The 24775-nt window shown below is 33.9% G+C and overlaps 1 protein-coding gene across 7 annotated transcripts in view; it reads right to left on the reverse strand.

The window, feature by feature from the left end:
• PCLO (piccolo presynaptic cytomatrix protein) overlaps positions 1 to 24775 on the reverse strand; it is a 408873-nt gene that overhangs the window by 116348 nt on the left and 267750 nt on the right. For all 7 annotated transcript variants that reach the window (XM_017012006.3, XM_047420211.1, NM_033026.6 and 4 more), the window contains one exon: positions 8978 to 9103. In XM_017012006.3, the coding sequence (XP_016867495.1) occupies positions 8978 to 9103 (126 nt within the window). The remainder of the gene's footprint in view (positions 1 to 8977; positions 9104 to 24775) is intronic.

The raw sequence follows: 24775 nt of genomic DNA on the forward strand, positions 1-24775 counted from the left end.
ATGGTGCTGACAAAACTGGATATTCATATGCAGAAGATTAAAATTAGAGCATTATCTCTTACATATCAAAATAAACTCTAAATGAACTAAAGACTTAAATTTAAGACCTGAGCTTATGAAACTACTAGAAGAAAAACATTAAAAGAATACTCCAGGACATTGGTATGGGCAAAAATGTTTTGAGTAAGACCTCAAAAGCACAAGCAACAAAAGCAAAATTTGACAAATGGGATTACGTCAACCTAAAAAGCTTCTGCATGGCAAAGGAAACAATCAACAAAGTGAAGAGACAACCTACAGAATGGGAGAAAATATTTGCAAACTATCCATCTGACAAGGGATGAATAGGTAGAATGTATAAGGAACTCAAACAACTTAATAGCAAAAAAAACCCCAAATAATTTGATTTAAAAAATGAGCAAAAGATCTGAATATACATTTCTCAAAAGAAGACATACAAATGGCCAACAGATACATTAAAATGCTCAATATCACTAGTCATCAGGGAAATCCAAATTAAAACCACAGTGAGATTTCACCTCACCCCATTAAAAATGGCTCTTTTCAAAATAGAGATGCTGGCAAGGAGATGAGAATAGCAGATGCTGGCAAAGACTTGAAGAAAGAGAAATGCTCATACACTGTTTGTGGCCATGTAAATTAGTCCAACCACTATAAAAAACAGTATGGAGATTCCTCAAAAAACCAAAAATAGAACTACCATACAATACACTGATCCCACTGCTAGGTATATATCAAAAGAAAGGAAATAAGTATATAGAAGAGATACCTGCACTCCCATGTCTATTACAGCACTATTCAAAATAGCCAAGAGATGGAATCAAACTGTGTTCATTAAGAGATGAATGAGTAAAAACTGTGGTATCAATACATAATAGAATATTATTCATTCATTGAAAGAATGAAATCATATTATTTGCAGCAACATAAGTGGAACTGGAGGACATTATGTTAAGTGAAATAAGCCAGACACAGAAAGACAAATATTACATGTTCTCACTCATATGTGGGAGCTAAATAAATTGATCTCATTAATATAGTAAATAAAATAGCCGTTACCTCATGTTGGAATGGGTGGTGTGGAGGGGGGAATGATGAGGGATTGTTTAATGAGACAAATGTACAGTTAGATAGGAATAACTTCTAGAGTTTGATAGCACAAAGGGTGACTATAGTTAGCAATAATTTATTGTATATTTCAAAGTAGCAAGAAGGAAAGATTTTAAGTGTTCCCAACACAAAGAAATAATAAACATTTGAGGTGATGGATATCCCAATTATCCAGATTTCATCATTACACATTATATGCATGCATGAAAATATCACATGTACTCTATAAATATGTACAACTATTATGTGCCAATAAAAAAAATGACCCAGAAGCATACAGCCCCTCAGGAGCTGAGCCACTCTAGAGATGGCTCAGGGATGATTGTTGAAAAAACAAGACAAAAGTCCTGTTAAAGTTTCTGAAATATAAAGCTTTAAAAAATGGTGCATAGGAAACTGATTATACATATTCAGAAGGAAAAAAAAACTAAAATATGAACTTTCTACTTTGGACCACAGATACATTAAAAACAACTTAATTCTTTGAGCTTAAGAACATTTCTGAAATGTAACATTTTACAGTTTTTAGAAGAAAAAAAGAATAATATATTTAAGACTTCAGGGCATGGAGAATTTCCTAAACAGTGCAACACATTTACAAAACTTAATTGAAACAAAATGACAAATTTGACTATTAAAACTTCAAATTTTACAAAAAATAAAGAGACAGAAAATAAAAATATAAGCCATACACTGGGAAAAGGTATTTATATCCTACATATTTGACAAAGGATTATATCCAGAATATATAAAGATGCCCTAAAATGGTTAAAAATACACAAACAATCCAATGAAAGAACAGGCAAAAAGACGAGTCAAATCTCAGATGAGAAAAATCCACAAGCTCACAAGGTTAATAAAATATGATCATACTCAGCACTACTGAAGGAAAAGTAAATGAAAGCAACAATGGGAAACCATTGCACAACAGAGTTGATAAAAGGAAATGTAAAGAAAGAGGAACAAGTATGTATAGAGATGAGAACACTAATTTGACCCTGACAAATGTAAAAACAGTATGAAACACTTGGGAGAGAAATTTGGAAAAAAAAACAAACTAGTTGAAGAAGCCACAGAACATTCTTCCACATTATTTGACAAGATTGATAGTCATTATAACACAGAAATTTAAGTTGTATTGTAGAATAAACTCCTACACATGGTCACAAGGAGACTACGTGAAAAACTAATTATAGCATTGTCTAAAGCGGTAAAAATAAAGCAAACCAAAACTATAATGTCCTAAATAACCAGGGAATGCTTAAATCAAACTGCAGCGGAGACATACAGTAACAGAATTCTACCCAGTAGTGAAAATAAAGGAACTAGAGTTACATGTACGTTTTGATTAATCTCCAAAACTTCAGGTGACTTAAAAGTGGCACAAAGACATGTGTGGCAAGATATTCTTTAAATAAAATTTTTCAAATAAGCAAAACGAATCTTATATAGTTGTGGATACATACATAACACTGCAAAGAAATGGAAGCAAAAGTATAACCCGAATTAAGTCTGATATTTTATCCTGGGATAGTAACAGAGGTTTGTGAGTTGAGGGGAGACTACAGGAAGCTTTTACTAATTTATAGAGGCCTATTTCTTTTTAAAATATGGAAGAAACATGGTAAAATTGTAAGACAATGAAACAGTATGATAGGTACATGGCTGTTTGCTATATTATTCTGTAAGTTTTTTTTTTTTTTTTTTTTTGTACATTCGAACCTTTTTAATGAAAATTACAGGTCATCGCCTGGTTAAGTGTTAAATAGCATGCATCAGACCATGAGAAAGCTGAGACACTCCATCCCCCATCCACACTCCCGTCATCCTCTTCCACTCTCATTAGAATCAATGAGATGTAAGGTGATGCACTGGGCATCTTAATAAGTGAAATAAGAAAAAAGTAGGAATAAGCTATGTGAGTCTTATACGGCAATTTTGCTGACTGGGGAAGAGGCTCAGTTTAAGGAAGGAACATCATGTCCAGTTTTAGGCATTTTAAACATCAAACCTTGCGCCTACTGTGTAATGCAGAAATTCGACTATTGAGTTGTTTCAATGAAAATTTACAAGACTGAGAGCAAAACACATTCACTATTAAGTGCAAATGAATCACAAACAGGCAGAAAACACTTCCACATAGTAATTGCTATTTTGAGTTGAGATTTTAACTTCTAATCTAAAACTCCTCTGTTTTGTGTCCTCACCCTTGCTCAACCACAGAATAAAGACAATATTTTGGATCTTCTGGACTAAAGAAGAACTGGCAGAGAAAAATCTCCTCATACTCAGTCACTGCACAGGAAGATGGTCCTGTAGTTCTAGATTGGGGGGGTGGTTTCTGTCAGTAACAACCCTGTCCTCCCATCCCAGAGATCTGAATTTAAATTTAAAGCAAAGTAACACTGAGGGAAAAAATAAACCTAAAGTAAATGTATGTAAATATATGAGCAGTTAAGTTCAAGGTTGTGAGAACATGTGCCCAGAGGTAACTTTGCATTTTGTATACTATTTTAAAAAGATAATCGAAAGGTTTAGAAATATTGATGCTGTCTTAAATGCTTAAATTTACATGATTAATTACAAATAGTAGTGTATAAACCGCACATATCGTTTTATTTGCTTCACACAATCCTGCGAGGAGTGACATCTTAATAAGTATCCTACTTTTGAAAACAAAGGTTTTTTTTTTTTAAATCACTTATTTCTTTATATATTGCTTGGATCTTTGCTACTGGCATTGTGCTGGACACAGTATAAAGGAAAAAAAACTGACAAGGTCAAGGTACACAATAGATGTGTGCACAAAGTGGTAAGGAACACAGTGCAGGGGCACAATCTCGGTTCACTGCAACCTCTGCCTCCTGGGCTCAAGTGATCACCTTGACTCCCAACGCAATGAGATTACAGGAGTGAGCCACTGTGACGGGCCTGAATCTGGTCTGTATCGGAGTCAAAAAGAAGTTTCCCTTCGTCATGAGATCTTGACAATTGTATTATGAATTTCCCAAATTTGGAGAGGGTTGAAACATTGATCTTAGGTGAACATATGCAGATAGTTATTTTTAAAGAATAAGCATGTAGTAAATTCAAAACTTCCTAAAATTGTAATCAGTAGGTTTTACCTAGTAAAACAGTCAAGAGAAAATACAGTTATTTATAGAGGAAGCATTTATTGTTTTAAGTCTATTAGGTAAGATGCTGGTTATATTGAACTTAAATATAAAAAGGTATATAATAATTAATCTAGGGTAAAGATTTAAAATGAAAGTTGTAAATATATATTCAAAGTCCATATATTCTAGTACACTTTTAGATGCTCAAACTAGTTCAACAAGAAATACCAATGACAAAGACCAAAATGAGAGACAACATTGTATACCATTGAATACTCCAACATTGCTGAACATCTCACAGCCTCAACACTGTTGGTCAAAAAATTGTTAAAATTGTAATCCTAAATCAAATAGCAAGAAATAGCACTTCAGAAACTTAGATTTGTAAATTCCCCAGATCTTTTGTCTTCATCTTTTTTACAGAACAAAGACTAATTTATGCAACTAAAATAAAGAATAATAGGTGGCAAAAGATTATTCTCTGTCCAGTATTTGTGGTAGGAATGTTTACTAAATGTTACTGGAAAATAAATGTTAAGATTTTGGGATATTATAATCCTTCAAGTACTTGATTCTCTGAGTTCTTTCAGGAAATCATTGTAGATTGATTGACAACTAAAAAATTGGTTCAGGACATTTTTAATAGTAAAGTTCTTGAACTGCATTTTTTTATTTTAGGAGATGGCACACATACCATTAGGAGTGTTTTAAAACCATTTTATTGAGTATAATCTAATGATTTTGCAATAGTAATTATTCCTAATTCTCTAAAACATAACATTCTCCTACATTATGTAACAAGGTAGACTAACTTGTTTAGAAACTAGATTTTTCAAAAAAAGATTGAATAAAAATCTTTTTTTCAATCAAATAACCAGAGCAGTCACTCAGCACCTTCAGAATAGTACTTGGCTTATGAACATCAGAAAACCTATATGATTGCTCAATATATTTTAAATGAATGCATCAAGACAACAAAAGCTAGAAGGAATTTGAAAATACTCCTGTTTTCCCAAAGCCAACATAGTCAGAGTCTATGCCACTGAGTGCTGCAAAAGTGTTAAAATGTTAGACTCTGATGTCTTAAAATCCTGTTATATGCTAGGTAGCCTGATTTGATCATTCCATAATGTACATATGCATTGAAACATCACATTGTAACTCATAAATCTATACAGGTATTATTGTCAATTAAAAATCAAAATAAAACTATAAAAATAAAAGCTATACCAAAATATTTTTAAAAGTCTGTGATAAGAGAAATGAACAAACTCAGAAAAGCAGGAGACCTAGCTTTTCCAAACAACAGCTTTGTAGATTAGGGTAGAAAAGAGTACACTCTAAGAATTCTATTGCCAACCAAGTTGTCATTCATGTTCAAATAAACTGTAAGATGATATTGAATCTGTAAGGGCACAGTCTATATAATTCTGTATTCAGAAATACAGAAAACAAAGATATATATCAAAGAGATGATCAATTTCTAAGTCTGCCTGGAAGTCATTAAACAGGTGGAAAAATCCAATTACATAAACACATCATCTATTTATTTACATATGTATAATTTTTCCTTAGGAAAGAATTAACTTTAAACTATGAAATGTTCAACACCCTTATTGCCTTCAACAAATACATTTAAAAAATCAATAATCATGAATTTTTTTAATTGGAAAAAAAACCTCCAGTGATATATAATTGGCATCATGATAATGCCTCACATCAGGCATAAAAATCAAGGTGGTATCTCAACCAATCTACTGCTTTGGAATTTTGGGATAATCCATAAGGGGTTGAGGATGAAGGATATAGTGTATAAATTAAACACAGAACTATAGACAAAAACAAGTATACACACACACACACACACACACACACACACACATACACCACACACACGTACCAGTAAATGTACTGGTCTAAACCAGGTGAATACTTGTGAATACCCATTTGAACTTGTAAACTTCTAGCTAGTTAATCTTTGGATATTAAAGGAATAAACCTTTATCATTGTCACCTGGTAGTGTAGAATACAGGTATAACCTTTTTGAGGGCGAGAAAAGATATGATGTACCATATGTTAACATTATTCCCCAAAATATTTAATGTTCAGAACCAGTATTTAAATATTGACAGTCAAGACAGTATCGTGAATCTAATAGAAATATTAACAGGTAGTTTATTAAAGAGCTATGTTGTAAGAGTAAATACAGCTGGAAATCATAAATAACAAATTATGGATTTGGATTATACAAGAACTGGACTTCAATCAGAGGATTTATACTCATAGAAAGGCCTCACTTAACACCTTGGCAAAATTTTGAGAGAACGAATAAATAACATAATTAATCAAAATAAAATCTTAAATCATATGCATACAGTTTTTAATGATTTCTCACTTAAACCAATTAAATTGCAAAAATATTAGTTCCGAAATAAAATAAGAAGGATTTAGTAGCAGTCTTAGAGCTTGTAAAATCACAAATACAATTTTAGATTTACTTTTGTTTTCTCTCTTGAGATGGTATCATATCTATTTTTAAAATTAAACTTATGAACTTAATAAAGGCCACCTAGACTACAAAGTGCAGAGAGCATCACTTCCTCATAGAATATACTGCGTTGATATTGTCTTTAGAATCATGCTGATTTGTAGTATTTGTTGATTTTCATGGTGTTAATCCAAAAAAGTACACGGTATTTTATTTATAAATTATTCAAGTATTTTTGCCAAATGATACTAGACACAGTTGTTATTGCAAATGTTATTTTAAAATAAAAATAGCATGTTCATTTTTCTTCTAGGGTATACTGTGGAAAGTGATCCTATCACTCTCATCCTTAAAAATGGGTCTTAATTTATATATCCTTATTAGACTGTAACACCAAAAATTATCATTGGGCGTGAAAGGGTTATAGTCATAGAAAACGCATATACGCCAAGTACTTTGCTTGTAACTGTTATTTCTTTATTCATATAGTCTTTCCTTTCATTGAGCTATCTGGCAAGCTCTCCTAACTTCTCCTCTTTTATGAATGCCATTAGAATATTTTTAATAATGTGCATTTATTTATTTATGAGACAGAGTCTCACTCTTGTTGTCCAGGCTGGAGTACAGTGGCATGATCTTGGCTTACTGCAACCTCCGCCTCCCACGTTCAAGCCATTCTCGTGCCTCAGCCTCCCGAATAGCTGGGATTACAGGCTCCCGCCACCACATCCGGGTAATTTTTGTATTTTGTTTTTTAGTAGAGACAGGGTTTCTCCATGTTGGCCAGGCTAGTCTTGAGCTGCTGGCCTCAAGAGATCTGCCCGCCTTGGCCTTCCAAAGTGCCTCCCAAAGTGGGATTACAGGTGTGAGCCACCAAGCCCAGCCAACAATATGCTTTTAGTTATTTATTTGGTGATGTGCTGGTAAGCTGGCATTCTGAAAGCAAATAATTAAGCAAGCAAGCAAACAAAAAGGTTTGAGTTATAGCATTTGCCTATTTCCACATTGTAAATGCTGCCACTATAGCCAATTCAAGCTATCATCATGATGTTACTGAATTTGAAGTTGGGAAGAGATTTGTACAGAATATCTTATTGATGTGGAGCAACCTGGCTCCAGCATAACATTGTGATGAATAAATACTGCTTCTAATTTGTGTTTATTCTAATAGTCTATCAAAATGTCCAGGGACATTTTCTGGTAGGTTCCAATATATTTAATTCGAGAAAATCACAGTGAGTCATTTTTAGCATGATTAAAGTTTTTAAGCAACAGCAGACAAAATTTTATTAAACTATGAAATGACAGAAAAACATTTATTTCAAATAATATTATATTTAGAGTAAAAATAAAAAGGTTGCATTTACTTTGTGACAATGTTCATTATAAAAATATCATCAAAACCTTGCAAACTATATTTATGTTAGAGAATCTGGAGAATGGAAATGACCATACTATCTGATTGACAATTGAAAATTTTCATTATGTATTTTGAGAATCTAGGTCTAATATTTTACTGAATGAAAATGATTAAGTACATATTTTATGGCCCATTATCTCCTACTCTAATGATCATTACTTTAAAACACTTTTGATGTAATGAGGCGATTAGTATCTAAAAATAGACCACACCTAGTACAGGGGTTAGCAAATGTTTTCTGTAAAGGGCCAGGAGTAAATAGTTTAGATGCTGCAGACCATACATTCTCTGTCATGAATGCAGTTCTGCTATTGTTTTGGTAAAGCACCCAGGCTTGATATGTAAATTAATGATCATGACTGTGTTCCAATAAAACAGTATTTACAGAAGCAGGCAGCAGATGGATAAAGCCTGTGGGCCATCCATAGTTTGCTTACCCAACCTTAGTGTGTACTGGATCATTTGATTTTTTTTGTAGCTCTAATTTCAATATAACTTTTCTTGGTGTTTGTGAAACATTATCACAGATAACTAAAGTGTTTTTTAATAAAATTGCCCCAGTCAGTAAAAAAGTTTTGACTAGTGTTTCTTAAACAAGATACTTCTGTAGCCAACTGCCAAAAGGACAATGCAATTGAAAATAAAATGAATATATTTGTGGACATGTTTTCTTTCATATTACTATACCAAAATTTCACAACTAACCATAAGGAGAGAGGTTTACCTACACAGAGAAGGATGAGAACATTTGCATATTAAATTAAAATGTATTTAATATGAGTGCATTCATTTTATTTTACTGTAAAATTCCTTATTCTTACCTTCCATAAGCTTCCCCGTCTGTTCCGCACTTCCCCCAGGAAGAATCTTGGCAATATAGGCTCCAATTTCTCCACTATGTCCCGGGATTTCTTTACCACCCACAATTCTAATTCCTAATCCATTACCTGTATTAAACAATTAGCAAATTATTAGTACTAATTTAAGAAGGGACAATAGTTATCACAAGTTACAGAGAGCACAAAAAGTAGGTCTGGTATCCAGAAGCTAAATATAACATGAATATTGGAAATGAACACCAAAACCAAAGTATGTTATTCTGATTTTGATAATATAAAATAGGATTTTCTGAGATCTTGGTAGACTCTCCAATGATTGACCTGATATTAACAAGTAATTTTTCTAATTCAGCCATATTCAGTAATATACCCAGGACTTGCCAATTTTTGACTAGGTATTTTGTAAAAATTTTATGAGAGGATGTTCCCAGAGCATACAATTCACTTATGAGACTAAGGAACATTTTACTTATAGAAGAGCAGTAATGACTATTCCAAATTGAGAAGACACAATCCAATCATACATACAATTGTAATTTATAAAGTGAAAACATGATCATAATTTATAAATTATTTATTTTTCAGCCTTAATTAACCAACTAATATTGTTTGTGTATTAACCTGACACTTTCTACAAGACACGATAAAATTATTCTTGACTGATGAACATCTTAGTAAACTGTTTCTTACTTTGCAGTACAGGTTCTTCTGGAATTAGCCACATGAAAAGACCAGGGTGAATAATATTATTATGAGAAACCTAATTGAGATAAATATAAGTGTTTATATTTTTAGTTTCTGTGTTTTTTAAAAAATAGCTAAAAATTAGCAAGTATATAGAGCATGAAACATACCTAAACATGGAAAAACTACAGTGAATGTACTGTACTGTAATCTTATGGGACATTGTTGCATATATGGCTCATCACTGACCAAAACATTATGTGGCACATGAGTACACTTTAATGCATAGTGGTTTTAAGACCATTATTTTGAAAGGCAAGAAACAAACACATATTAATCATGACAAATAATGAAATATTTGAATAGCTCTATTCTTTTTATCTTTTGTAGAGACAAGGTCTCACTATGTTGTCCAAGCTGGTCTCAAACTCCTAAGCTGAAGCAATCCTCCTGCCTCGGCCTCTCACAGTGCTGGAATTACAGGCTTGAACTCTTTTCTTTTAAAGCAGTGGCTCTCAAATGGGGGTGACTTTTCCTCCCAGGGTATATTGGTCCATGTCTAGAAACATTTTTGGTTGTCACCGTGGAACGATGCTACTGGCATTTAGTGGATAGAGGCCAGGGATGTTGCTAAACATCCTACAATGCACAGGGTATCTTCCTAGGATTTTCCAGGCCAAAATGTCAACAGAGCCAAGGTTGAAAACCCCTGTTTTAATGAAAGCAATGCATGTTAATTATTTTAAACCTAATGTGACTATTGGGCAATCTTGAATTTTTAAGCTATAAAAATTAGAAAGATTGACATTGTTGTAAAACTAAAACAAGAAAATCCTTTGGCAGAATTCCTTCTATAGTAACAAATGGGTTACAAACATGGGAACAGATCCTAAATAACACCAATACTTTAGACACATATTTTGGGGCTTTCCTTCTATTTGAATATCTTTAAAAATAGTTTTTCTTTTCCCAGCAAGTCCATATCAGAACTGAGAATCCACAAATAGACTTAAGATTGCTATAACTTATAGAGGTATGGCTAAAAGTGTAGTTGCAGGCTGAGTGTGGTGGCTCATGCCTGTAATCCCAGCACTTTGGGAGGCCAAGGTGGGAGGATTGCTTGAGGCCAGGAGTTCAAGACCAGCCTTGCCAACATAGGAGACAGAAACAGAAAACAAACAAAAAAGTGTAGTTGTGGAACTTCAAAATCTATTCATTGGCATGAAGGACTTACAAAAATTGGTTATAGTTTCATTCTGCAAATGACAGTGTCTTGAAGGTGAAGTAGTTGGGTCCTTAGAGTCATTTGATTTCTAGTAGCTGAGCACCTTCTAAAACCCTCTGGTAAAGGATCAGTGATGAGAAACTGTAATTATAACCATCTCAATAAAGTAGCACAGGCACAATAATTATTTAATTTTGTAATGTATAGTCTCACAATAGTGACTTCAAAATGCTTTTGAAATATACTTCATAAGCCTCATGTCTTTGGTAAATAGAATAATACAGTCATGACAATCCTGTGAGAAATGAGACTATATACATAGAAACAATTTCAGTCATATAGTTAATTTTCAACAATTACTGTTCCTCTTGTTGACATTGCTGCTATTGTTTTTGTTTTGAGACAAAATTTCACTCTGTTGCCCTTGCTGGAGTGCAATGGTGTGATCATAGCTCACTGCAGCCTCAAACTCATGGGCTCAGGGATCCTCCCACCTTAGCCTCCTGAGTAGCTGGGACTACTACATGCCACCATGCCCACCTAATTTTTTTTTATTTTTAGTAGACACCCAGTCTGGCTATATTGCCCAGGCTGGTTTCAACCTCCTAGGCTCAAGTGACCCTTTTGCCTCAGCCTTCCAAAAGTTCTGGGATTACAGGTATGAGCCACTGTGCCCAGCTGCTATTGTTTCTCATGTAGACAATTAAGTTGCATAAGAAGATCAAGAAATTTTTGAAGAATAGAACGTTAGAAAATAAATAGACCCAGGAAAAATAACATTTGTTTGTTTATTTTATAGTAGCTGCTTCTACCCTAATTTGAATGTCGTGAAAAGAAATTGAATTTATATAATTTTAAAGAATTGAATCTGGATATTTTGATTTCACATTTCTATAGTTGTACTGTAATGTTTTATATTTCAAATATAGATAAAATGAATAAAAATATTTCTATAAAAATCTAACACCACTCCTCAAATCTAGAAAGCAGAATACCAATAGAATTTTTTGTAAACTCAAGAAGCAACATTAATTTTGAACTGAAATTCTTAGAAGTAAATGACCCTTGACAAGTGATGTGTATAGTATCATTGTTTTTCAACTTTTGACAAATTTTTATCAAGATAAGGTCATCTCTCTGCTTTTGTTTCATCTCAAAACATTGATGAAATGCTTCTTCAGATGCCATGAAAATGGTCTTGTTCTTGTGTTCACAGTATGACAGCATACAGAGACATGTAAACCAATAGTTACTCCAGATAACATAAGTGCTTTACTAAAAAAGAAAGTCATAAGTTATGGTAATTTCACAATACATAAGCATATCTGTGGTTAAGAAAGTGTTATAGAGAAGTTTAAAATTTAGAAAACCTTCAAAGGTTGGGATATTTATAGAAAAGAGAAATTCAATGATAAAAGTGGCAAAACCATTAAGAAAATGCATTACCTCTACTAACCTGAGAATTACAATTTAAGTCTCTATGTACATTATAAGTATTTGATAAATATGCTACTTTGGAGTCACTTTAAAAATAAGCTATGCACAACACAAACATGAGCATACTAAGGAAAAATCTTTACATTTGCATTTAAATTTACAGATTACATCTAATTTTATGTGTTTATTAATCTGCTACAATGAAAGCTCTGGTATTTTAAAGTATCACAAAGAATGTTTTATTTTCAACATTAAAATATATACTAAAATATTATGAGGTTATAATTAGAACATTACATTTGGATAAAATTAAAATACTTGTTTAATTTCAATACCCTCATATCCTGTATCTAAGCATCAACGGAAAGCAAAATTGGTATTAATGAACATACTGTATCTTATGAATAGTTTAAATCAACTGTGTTGATTTTTTATAATAAAGTTATCCTAGAATAAAAATATATTGCGTAGTTCAGTCATGTCATTGGTTGGGCTAAAGAAGAAAACAGATTATACAAATAATAATGCCTATAAAATACCAAGAATAATAGAAAAGTCCCCAAAGGATAGTTCATTAAATTTATTTTTATGTAGTTTACACATTACTTACACTCTTGAGTAAGGCTGTGAGAATTTAATTTTATATTATTTCACTGACTTATCTCTGTGTTACAAATTATACATAAAAGTGTTTAAGAAAGTAAACCAAATTATATTAAAAATTCAGTTATTTCCCTTTTTGTCCTATCAAATGAAACAGTTTGTTCATTAATTCTCAAACATGAAGACCTAAAGAATTTTCACTATTTATCCAATTATTGGTCAGTATTTAAAAAAAAATTCCTATAAACACAACAATGTACATCAATCACCTTAATAACAATCCATATTTTACAGTTTTCAGCAACATCAAAACAGAAACAGCACACTCATGCCAAGTTTAATCGAACTCTAATCCTGAGTATTCCAATAATAAATTCACTTATTCCTATTAGCTTTTTCTTATCCAGCCAATTGCTCCAGGCATGAAAATTGCTGTTCAGCATCCTTTTGTTTCTAGTTTTATTTTTTATTTTTTAATTTATTTTGAGATGGACTCTCGCTCTGTTCCCCAAGCTGGAGTGCAGTGGTGCGATCTTGGCCCACTGCAACCTCCGCCTCCAGGCTCAAGCTATTCTCCTGCCTCGGCCTCCCTAGTAGCTGGGATTACAGGCTCCTGCCACCACGCCCAGCTAATTTTGTGTACTTTTGGTAGACAGGGGTTTTTGCCATGTTGGCCAGGCTGGTCTCAAATTCCTGACCTCAGATGATGCCTGCCTTGGCCTCCCAAAGTTCTGGAATTACAGGCGTGAGCCACCGCGCCTGGACTTTTTCTGGTTTTAAATATATATCCTTTATGTACATGAAAAATTTGAAGAGAACAATTCATCTCACATTTCCATGAACTTGCATTCACACCTCTTTTCTAATGTAATCTAAATAATATTAATATTAAAATGTTATGTACAGTTCAAAGAATGTACAAAAGCCTGTCCATATTCACAGTATATTGCATGAGATGAGTCCAAGATGGCCTGCCATATGACTGAAATGACCATTGGCATGGGAAATAAGGAAGACGAGTAAAAAAATACACAAAAATGACACTGGTATTCTGGCTTTGTGGAACACACTTTTCAAATGACAGATGATGCATGCTGTTAAAGTAATTTTACTCAAAGCACATAGGATTTTCTCCTCTTTATAGACTTGGAATAATTCCTACCAAGAAAATTTGTCAGGACTGCCACATTCACAAATGCATTCTTCATTCATGTAATGACATAAAGATTTTCTTTTTTCTTCATTTTAGCTTATATAAGACAATTGCAAAATTAGAAGCATAAAGACTAAATCTGAAGGGTTTGCCGGATACTTCTATAAAAGGCAATGAAAAGGAAATTTATTTCATTTAGCAGTACTTAGGGTCCAAAACAAAATGATTATTTGATATGAAACTGGATGTCACAAAATTGGAAAATAGGGTCACTTTATAGGTTTGGCCTTGATACTAAATTGATGGCAGGCCAGGACGTGGGGTGAGGTCATTCACTATGGTGTTAAAGAAAATTCTTTTTTTTTTTGAGAAACACTTATGAAACTCTACGATGATGGAAATAAAATGGTGTAAACTTACATTAGTGTAAAGCTATGATGTGCTTGATAAAATAAATGTCAGTTTTCCTTATATAAAATGTAAGTAGGAAGAAAAATACTATTCTAATTCAAAATTAAATATAGTGTCTTTTGTTGGATTTCTTGACTTAATATGGGATTGTGGCAGAAATACTCTATCATGATTTCCAATGAGCCACTTCCTGGTATATTCCCTTCCGTTTGAGTGAAGGCAGAACTTGTGACTTGCTTCTTATCAATAAGATCTGGCAAAGGTGATGGATAGCCACTACCATAATTATTTTAGATTGGATTCCATCTTAAGAGGTTAGAGTGAGAGATTTACTCCTGGCCTTCAAGAAGTAAGCTGTCACATGTTAGTGGACCTCACAGAAATAAACTGAGAGAGACCTCTTGGGGCTCAGTTGTCCCTGGCTGATAGCAAGAGTATGGGGAATTCAGTTCCACACCTACAAGAGACTGAATCCTACCAACAACCACATGAGTTTGGAAGAGGTCTCCCAAGCTCCAGAAAGGGATACAGCACAACTAACATAGATTATAGTTTGTAAGTTCATGATCAGGGAACCCAGTTAAGCCATGCCTGGATTATTGACCCATGAGAATGACAAGATAGTGAATATGTGTTGTTTTAACTCATTAAATTTGTTATGCAGTGACAGAAAACTAATACAAGGATGAAAATCATACTCAGAAATTTGTTGTGCACACAACATATGTAGACATTATTTTGGTAGAAAAATGTGCAAGACATTTGTGTTATAGTAGATACAGCAATGATTGAGCAGTGATAGAGGGTAGGGATGAAGGGAAATGGGCTGGGTAAAATAATATATGCATATTGTATTCTATTCTTAGAAAATGCCTTTAAAATTACATTATCTCATTGGATTTTAAAATAAAAGAGCAAATGGAAAAAAAAAAAAGCCCTGCATTTTGCATGTGAGGAAAATGAGGCTTTGAGAGGTTAAACACTCCAGGCAACGCAGCTAATATAAGGGAAAGCAAGAGTGAAGCCCATATTCTTTCTCCAAAGAAGTGACTTGGCAGTGAGTCTCCTGTCTGGTTTATGCCAGTTCACTGGGTTTAGAATCAGAAGGTATGGGTTTGAGGGTAGCACACTCCAGTCCCTCCTTTCCCCATTCAGTTTTAGAGAAGAGTGATGGGAGAAGTTGCAACCAAATAATAAAAGAGAAACTACCAAGATATGAAAAAAGGTGTTGGAAGCCAGCATTTCTCAGTCAAGACCAAGGAGAGAAAATGCTTTTGGCTTAGGCAGCCCACAAGTTATAATGCATGGTTCAATCTGTAGCCACAACTAATTAGTTAGGAAACATTATATTTGTTTTGTCAGTATAATCTCCATTTCTCTATTACTGCATACAGTTTTATGTATGTTTATATCTATCTTTTTCAAACATTATAAAGATAAGATTATTGCATCTTTTAATATTATAGCTTTTAGCATTATAATCCAAATATGAATTGCATATATATCTGTTAAATGAATAAGCAATTGGCTTAATATTTCTATATCTTGGTATGCATATCTATATAGAACAAAGTGCCTTATATGCCTGATTATGTAATAATTATTATACTAACCACTATTTTGGAGGGAGTTGAAAATGGATTTAGAGAGAAAAGTTCTATATTTGCTGAGTCATTTTAGGTATATAAATGAAATCCAGATGCTAGATTATTTTTACACTACAGGCTGAACCTGTTCTCATCAAAATCAATTTGCCTTCGGTGAAGGAGGTATTCAATACAATTCAACAGCTTCTACTTTCCTATATATATCAGGGGCTATTTTTTCATTGAAGAGTTATTTAGTACAGTTATTTTTGGTTATTTTCATTACTCTATTAAAAATAATTACTACTATCTGGAAGCGACAAAAATGTATTTCATGGTGTTAATAACTGGGCTAACAAGATTCAAACATCCCATTGAAATTATGCTTTAAGCAAAAAGTGAGCTGCTTTTATTTATTTTCATCTAATTTTCTATTATATAGGATGTATTGATCTTTTGTCAAAACATCTCAAAACACATGACTTTGAACAGATGGATTTTATTTGATTTTTGTTTTTGTGCCAATATTATTTTATGTTTAGTGTATTTGATTTTTCTCAATCTCTTCAGTATTGTCTTCAGGGATGGAAGAAAAGAGAAAGTAACACTTGCAAAGTTTCTCCTATGTGTCTGACACTATCCCGTAGCTTTTTTTGCGTTGCCTTTCTTTAACCACCTCCACAACATTTTGAGTTACGTACTATTCATACCATTTTTACAACAAAGCAGCTGAGACTGCTAAGGAGGGTTAGAAACTTGCTGTAGGATGTCCAGCATACAAAAAAGCTGAGAACTCATCGTTTTTCTCTTGACTTTCACATCCTTGTTCTTCCTACCTTTGATCATCACTCTAATTGTCAAGAAAATATTCTAGAAAATCAATATAAATCCTTACTCCTTTATTGAATCCCATTTCCCCTTGCTTATTTTTCTACTGCCAGTTCACATACATTTTACATTTGTATGCTTATGTTTCACATTAATATTACCATCTATCCTCCTATCCTTGAATATTGTGAATGTCTTCACTCTCATGGAATCAATTATTCATTCCTTTAATTTTGTTTTATTAAGAGTGGATAAGAAAATGTGCTAAGCTACCTCCAGCTGGAAGCAAAGCCTATAATGTCACTTCCTTAGCAGGAACACAATAACCAAGCAATCTGTCAGGAGAAATGATAATGTTTCTGTGGAACTCACCCTGAGAATAAAAACTTCCTTTGTTACTGAGTAAATAAATCCACATTTTCACCAGAATTTACCAGGAAGAAATCGTGATTTCAGAAGAGATTCAATCTGAGCTTTACTCTACTTCCATAGCTTTATGCTCAATATATTCCTAAGCAAGGCTTACAATGAAAAAGCGAACACTTTGGGAGGCCAAGGCGGGCTAATCACGAGGTCAAGAGTTCAAGACCAGCCTGGCCAAGATGGTGAAACCCTGTCTCTACTAAAAAGCTACAAAAATTAGCCAGTCGTGGTGGCAGGCACCTGTAATCCCACTTATTCGGGAGGCTGAGGCAGGAGAATCACTTGAACCTGGGTGGCAGAGGTTGCAGTCAGCTGAGATTGCGCCACTGCACTCCAGCCTGGGTGACAGAGTAAGGCTCCACCTCAAAACAAAAAAAAAAAGAAAGAAAGAAAATGAATACTATGTAATTGCACTGTCAAAATAATAAAATAGAAAAAGCCATCTTATATGAGAAAGGAGAAATTCAGTGTTAAGACCCACTTGTAGGATCTGTTTTGTTCCACGGATATTCCAGCAGTTAGGATGGAACACACTTGTACTGAGGGTGACAGTTTTACTTTCTTTTGGTCTTCCACGAGAAGCAGAAGAGATGGCATAATTGTTTTAACTCTATTTTAAGAGTTGGCTGACGTGAAAAAAATTAGTTTTCTAATAAAATGTTCATATAATTGATATTGGAGAAATGTTAAGTGACTCTTAGCCATAACTTATCCAAATCACATGGAGTAGCTCACCATATTTTGCCTCAGTACCTCTTTATTTAATATATCACATTTGAGAACAGCAGTATACTCTCAAGCAAAGGTGATCCAACCTATTTATTCAAACTTCTGTGTATCTTATTCATTCATTATGATTAAGCTTCCTTCAGAATTCAACTTTGAAGCAAACAAAACAAATCTTTTTAAAAAAAAGACTTAATAAACGAAGCTATATTTTCAATGATTTCAAGATGCCAATCTTCCCTATCAAATTAAACTTAGACTATTTATTTGTCTACTGGGCCCAACATATTCTGGCCCTAGCTTTGTATATACTCTGGTCCCTTTTATGTACTCTGTGTTGCAGCAAAACAAAACAAACAAAATAAAAATAATCTATTATCCTGCATGTTAAGTAGATAAGTCACTGAAAGGAAAGAAACAGAGCTAATTGTGATCTAAAGGCTATAGTTAAGACTCAATATTAGATGCTGCGTAATTTTCTGGTAAAATCAGGAGGGTCGAACCACAAGTTCCCCCCGCCCCCTGCCCCACCCCCGCCAACTCTGCTCTGATGTATCAGGTCCCCTTGCCAAACAATCCTCTTTATCAAGGGGGTGAGGGGTTTCTGTTACCTGCCAGTCTGAGGAACTATTCAGCGGAGCCAAACAAGTCTTCCTGTAGGACCTAGGGGCGCTCCAACCTTTTGATACTAAAAACCCAGCCTTGCACAGCCTTTGGTTGTTCAGTGTTCCCCAGCACAACCCCCGTGTGGCTCTGTGTCATGTGTGGTGTCCTGTTCCCCCAAACTTTGAGCATATGTGACTAATAAGCTGCTGTTGATGTCATCTGTCCAGTGTCAGGTGCAATATGCTTAGCCCTCGCCATAACCCCAGGACAGGCAGGAATCTCTCCCTCACCACCAGGATGCTTAGGAGACAATTAAATTATAAAATATTGGACAAAATATCAACCTGATAATTAATCAAAGAAATAATACTTAGAGCAACATGATATAAAATTTGGCTTCTGAACTAAGTTACAATATCTTTCCCTGAAAATTATATGATTTAAAATTTCCATAGTGAAAAATGAATGAAAAACAATTTCTTAGTTTGGGAGTGCAAAGTAGCAGAACTTTTCTGATAAGCAATTTGAGAAGATGTTTAAGGAATGTCCAAAATATCCTTTTCCTTTTACTCACTAATTTTACTTCTGTAAATATATTGTAAGGGAATAATAAACATTAAGGCAGCATTTTTTTCATTGCAGCATTGTTTATAATAATGGAAAGGGGAAAACGACATAAATGCCAATCAATTAGAAAGTGGTTGAAGTAAATAATTAAACGTCTGTACAATGTAATAAGAACCAGTCATTACATTTATATTTTTGAAGAGCTTTTGATGTAAAAGGAAAATGTATTTATTGGGCAATTTATACCATATTAAAGATATGTATCTGAACTATATTACAATGTACTTTCAACTTTTAGTGTGTGTGCACATGTGTGTAAAAAACGCAAGAAGTAAAGGAAAAAATAGAAATTGTAAAATTATGGCTTCTATTTTTAGCTTTATAATTGTTACCACTACCATATTTTACAGGAAATATTTTACATATTACAATATATTATATTATTATATATACATACATGCAAATATATACATTTATAAGTATACATACAAGAAAAAGGTTGAGAATGATACATGCATTTATCCATTTAGCTACTACAAGCTGAGAGCGAGGTGGGCATTTGCCTTTGAGATCTCTAGCTATAAAGGAAAGCAGAGTAACAAAAATATTCATGAGAAAATGGGTAAATACGTGTTCTCTATATTCCATTGGTAAAATTATTTGAACAAAGAGAAGCATTGCAAAAATTTGTACACGTAAATATATGTACACATAGTTTGTGAAACATTTTAATTTTCAATATATAGTTTCATGTGTTCATTGTTTCATGTACATTAGTTCCACTTCAAGTATTTTGTAAGTTCTTTAAGCAAGGACTGTACCACAGACTTTTCCCATACCTATCTCATATCTAGTATAAGGCTGATTCCATATTCAATATTACATATCTTCTTTTTTATAGTAGGAGATAGCCCTTATTTGTTGTGACTCTTCCTTCTGTTAGTCCACATTATTTAAAATAGATTTAACGTTATAGAAGGTGGACAAATTGTGTTTATAGTATTTGTAATTATTAAGGTAGAAGATGAGAATTTTGTTGTAGTTGCTTTTTTAAAACTAATCCGCTAATCACAATATTATATCTTTGAGAACTATCAATAGGATATATAGAACTATCCTTACCATGCTTCATCTAGAGTCTGAATATAAATCTCTGAATAACTTCTATTTTAGGCTTGTAGATTTTCATTATAAACACTTATAATCAAGGAAAAAAGAGGAGAATATTTGTATTTGGAAGAAACAGTTATACTTTCAACTTATTTCAGAAGAAAATAGAAAACCTGTAAGTACAAAGAAAATAATATGTTTATTTTTATATTTTATGTCCCCTAAATATTTATGATTATCATTATTTTCTTTGGATTTTTGCATATATGATTTATTTGGTTGCCTAGTGGGACTAATAAATGTATGCAAATAAGACCATTATTACAAATGTAATACATTTAATTCAAAAAATCTTCTCCTATATTTGACAGAGGGCTTATTGCTGTGTTTATTTGTATGTATGCATATATGTATCTTCCCTGCAAAATGAATACATAATCAACTCTATGTTTTCACATATTGCCAGTGTTGGAAATTCCACTGATAAATACAAGAAAATGGAAAGTCTGATTAGCTATTTTTGTCTTTTTTAAAAGCTGTTCTTAATCACTTCTGCTCAGATTTTTAAAATTTTAGGTAGAAAAACTTTACCACTGAGTAGCAATGAAGGCAAGGAGAGGTAAGAATTCTGTTGGTGTATAAGAATGCTTGTGATTTTTGCACACTGATTTTGTATCCTGAGACTTTTCTGAAGTTGCTTATCAGCTTAAGGAGATTTTGGGCTGAGATGATGGGGTTTTCTAGATATACAACCATGTCATCTGCAAAAAGGGACAATTTGACTTCCTCTTTTCCTAATTGAATACCCTTTATTTCCTTCTCCTGCCTGATTGTCCTAGCCAGAACTTCCAACACTATGTTGAATAGGAGTGGTGACAGAGGGCATCCCTGTCTTCTGCCAGTTTTCAAAGGGAATGCTTCCAGTTTTTGCCCATTCAGTATGATATTGGCTGTGGGTTTGTCATAGATAGCTCTTATTATTTTGAGATACGTCCCATCAATACCTAATTTATTGAGAGTTTTTATCATGAAGCGCTGTTGAATTTTGTCAAAGGCCTTTTGTGCATCTATTGAGATAATCATGTGGTTTTTGTCGTTGGTTCTGTTCATATGCTGGATTACATTTACCTAGGAATCCAACTCACAAGGGATGTGAAGGACCTCTTCAAGAAGAACTACAAACTACTGCTCAATGAAATAAAAGAGGATACAAACAAATGGAAGAACATTCCATGATTCCATGCTCATGGGTAGGAAGAATCAATATTGTGAAAATGGCCACACTGCCCAAGGTAATTTATAGATTCAGTGCCATCCCCATTAAGCTTCCAATGACTTTCTTCACATAATCGGAAAAAACTACTTTAAAGTTCATATGGAACCAAAAAAGAGCCCGCATAGCCAAGTCAATCCTAAGCCAAAAGAACAAAGCTGGAGGCATCACACCTCCTGACTTCAAACTATACTACAAGGCTACAGTAACCAAAACAACATGGTACTGGTACCAAAACAGAGATATAGATCAATGTAACAGGACAGAGCCCTCAGAAATAATGCCACATATCTACAACTATCTGATCTTTGACAAACCTGACAAAAACAAGAAATGGGGAAAGGATTCCCTATTTAATAAATAGTGCTGGGAAAACTGGCTAGCCATATGTAGAAAGCTGAAACTGGATCCCTTCCTTACACCTTATACAAAAATTAATTCAAGATGGATTAAAGACGTGCATGTTAGACCTAAAACCATAATAATCCCAGCAGAAAACCTAGGCATTACCATTCAGGACATAGGCATGGGCAAGGACTTCATGTCTAAAACACCAAAAGCAATGGCAACAAAAGCCAAAATTGACAAATGGGATCTAATTAAACTAAAGAGCTTCTGCACAGCAAAAGAAACTACCATCAGAGTGAACAGGCAACCTACAGAATGGGAGAAAATTTTTGCAATCTCCTCATCTGACAAAGGGCTAATATCCAGAATCTACAATGAACTCAAACAAATTTACAAGAAAAAAACAACCCCATCAACAAGTGGGGGAAGGATATGAACAGACACTTCTCAAAAGAAGACATTTATGCAGACAAAAGACACATGAAAAAATGCTCATCATCACTGGCCATCAGAGAAATGCAAATCAAAACCACAATGAGATACCATCTCACACCAGTTAGAATGGCAATCATTAAAAAGTCAGGAAACAACAGGTGCTGGAGAGGATGTGGAGACATAGGAACACTTTTACACTGTTGGTGGGACTGTAAACTGTTCAACCATTGTGGAAGACAGTGTGGTGATTCCTCAGGGATCTAGAACTGGAAATACCATTTGACCCAGCCATCCCATTACTGGGTATATACCCAAAGGACTATAAATCATGCTGCTATAAAGACACATGCACACGTATGGTTATTGCGGCACTATTCACAATAGCAAAGACTTGGAACCAAGCCAAATGTCCAACAATGATAGACTGGATTAAGAAAATGTGGCACATATACACCATGGAATACTATGCAGCCATAAAAAATGATGAGTTCATGTCCTTTGTAGGGACATGGATGAAGCTAGAAACCATCATTCTCAGCAAACTATCGCAAGGACAAAAAACCAAACACTGCATGTTCTCATTCATAGGTGGGAACTGAACAATGAGAACACATGGACACAGGGCAGGGAACATCACACACTGGGCCCTGTTGTGGGGTCAGGGAAGGGGGGAGGGATAGCATTAGGAGATACACCTAATGTTAATGACGAGTTAATGGGTGCAGCACACCAACATGGCACATGTATACATATGTAACAAACCTTCACGTTGTGCACATGTACCCTAAAACTTAAAGTATAATAAATAAAAATAATAAATAGAAAAAGAAAAAAAATAATTCTATAACAGGATTAGGACACAGTCCGTGAGTTTATTCATGACTAATTGTCAATTTTCTTTAGGATTCTAAGAATGTCACAATCCTCCTCAGAAACTTAATGGACTCATTTATGAAATATTGATAAAATATCTGAACTATTTTCTTCAGATTTCTGAGATCTCTCAGAATATTGTTGTTTCTTTCAGTCTGATTCAATTATTTAGAATTGTTATTATGTTCTCAGATGAGTAATTCTGGCTGGTATATTAGAAAGAGGTACATTAGGCCTGCAGCTTTCTTTTTTATGCACACGAAATCAATACTATAATGGAATATTTAGAAACCATCATTTATAAGAATCTTATGCCAAAATAAATTTCATTCATTATCTGTGTTTTATTTTATATGTAATACTTAAAAAAATATTTAAGTATAAAAATCTTATACAATCAAAACAATTTTGAGAATGAGTAAAAAAATTCAGAGAAATATGGTATTTTTATTACTATCTCAGGAAATACATTATAAAAAGTTGCCAAAATCATAATTAAATAGATTACAAAATAAAATAAATAAAATTTTCTCCCAAATAATGAATTGTATAGCTGGATAAAACTTTAAAAAATAACCAACCATTTCAGCATTCTGGAAATTAAACAAAAGTTTACAACAAACTAAGCAGCATTTGTTCATGAGAAGCGCTGATCTTCAAGAACACTGGTGTATTAGTCTGTTTTCATGCTGCTGATAAAGACATACCCAAGACTGGGCAATTTACAAAAGAAAGAGGTTTATAATGGACTTACAGTTCCACGTGGCTGGGAAAGCCTCACAATCATGGCAGAAGGCAAAGTCACATCTCAGTGGATGGCGGAAGGCAAAGAGAGAGCTTATGCAGGGAAACTCCTCCTTATAAAACCATCAGATCTCATGAGACTTATTCACTATCATGAGAACAGCACGAGAAAAACTCGCCCCCATGACTCATATACCTCCCACCGGGTGCCTCCTACAACACACGGGAATTCAAGATGACATTTGGGTAGGGACACAGCCAAACCATATCAAGTGGGAATCTTGGTCGTACTTGGCTTGGGCTGCTTCCATCCCCAGCTAAGTTGTCATGATAATTCTATCAGACAGGGCAGGGTATGAAAACTAGAAGCTTTACTGCTGGAGGGGATGAAACAAGTGGCAGACTTGCAATTTATTTGGGGATTAAACTGGGAGACTGGGAATTGGGACATCCATAAATAGATTTAATAAGTTCTCAATATATCCCTGGGTAAATGAAGGCTGAGTGCATGTTTGGCAGAAACCAGAGAGAGCCCAAACTGTTCACACAAATCTAACCAAAAGAAGGTTACACAGATGTGCAGCACAGAGAGAAGTTTCAGTGGAAAGTAAAATCATAGTCATACTTGGAAACTGTCAGACTCACAAATTGCTTGTGCTTTTAATGTCTCTCCATTTTATATACAAATTTATCAACAAAGCTTTGCAAATCTGAATGAAGTCAAAATAATTGAATCATACCAAATAGG

Source organism: Homo sapiens, chromosome 7 (assembly GCF_000001405.40).
Source record: "Homo sapiens chromosome 7, GRCh38.p14 Primary Assembly".
In the NCBI taxonomy this organism is placed as follows: domain Eukaryota; kingdom Metazoa; phylum Chordata; class Mammalia; order Primates; family Hominidae; genus Homo; species Homo sapiens.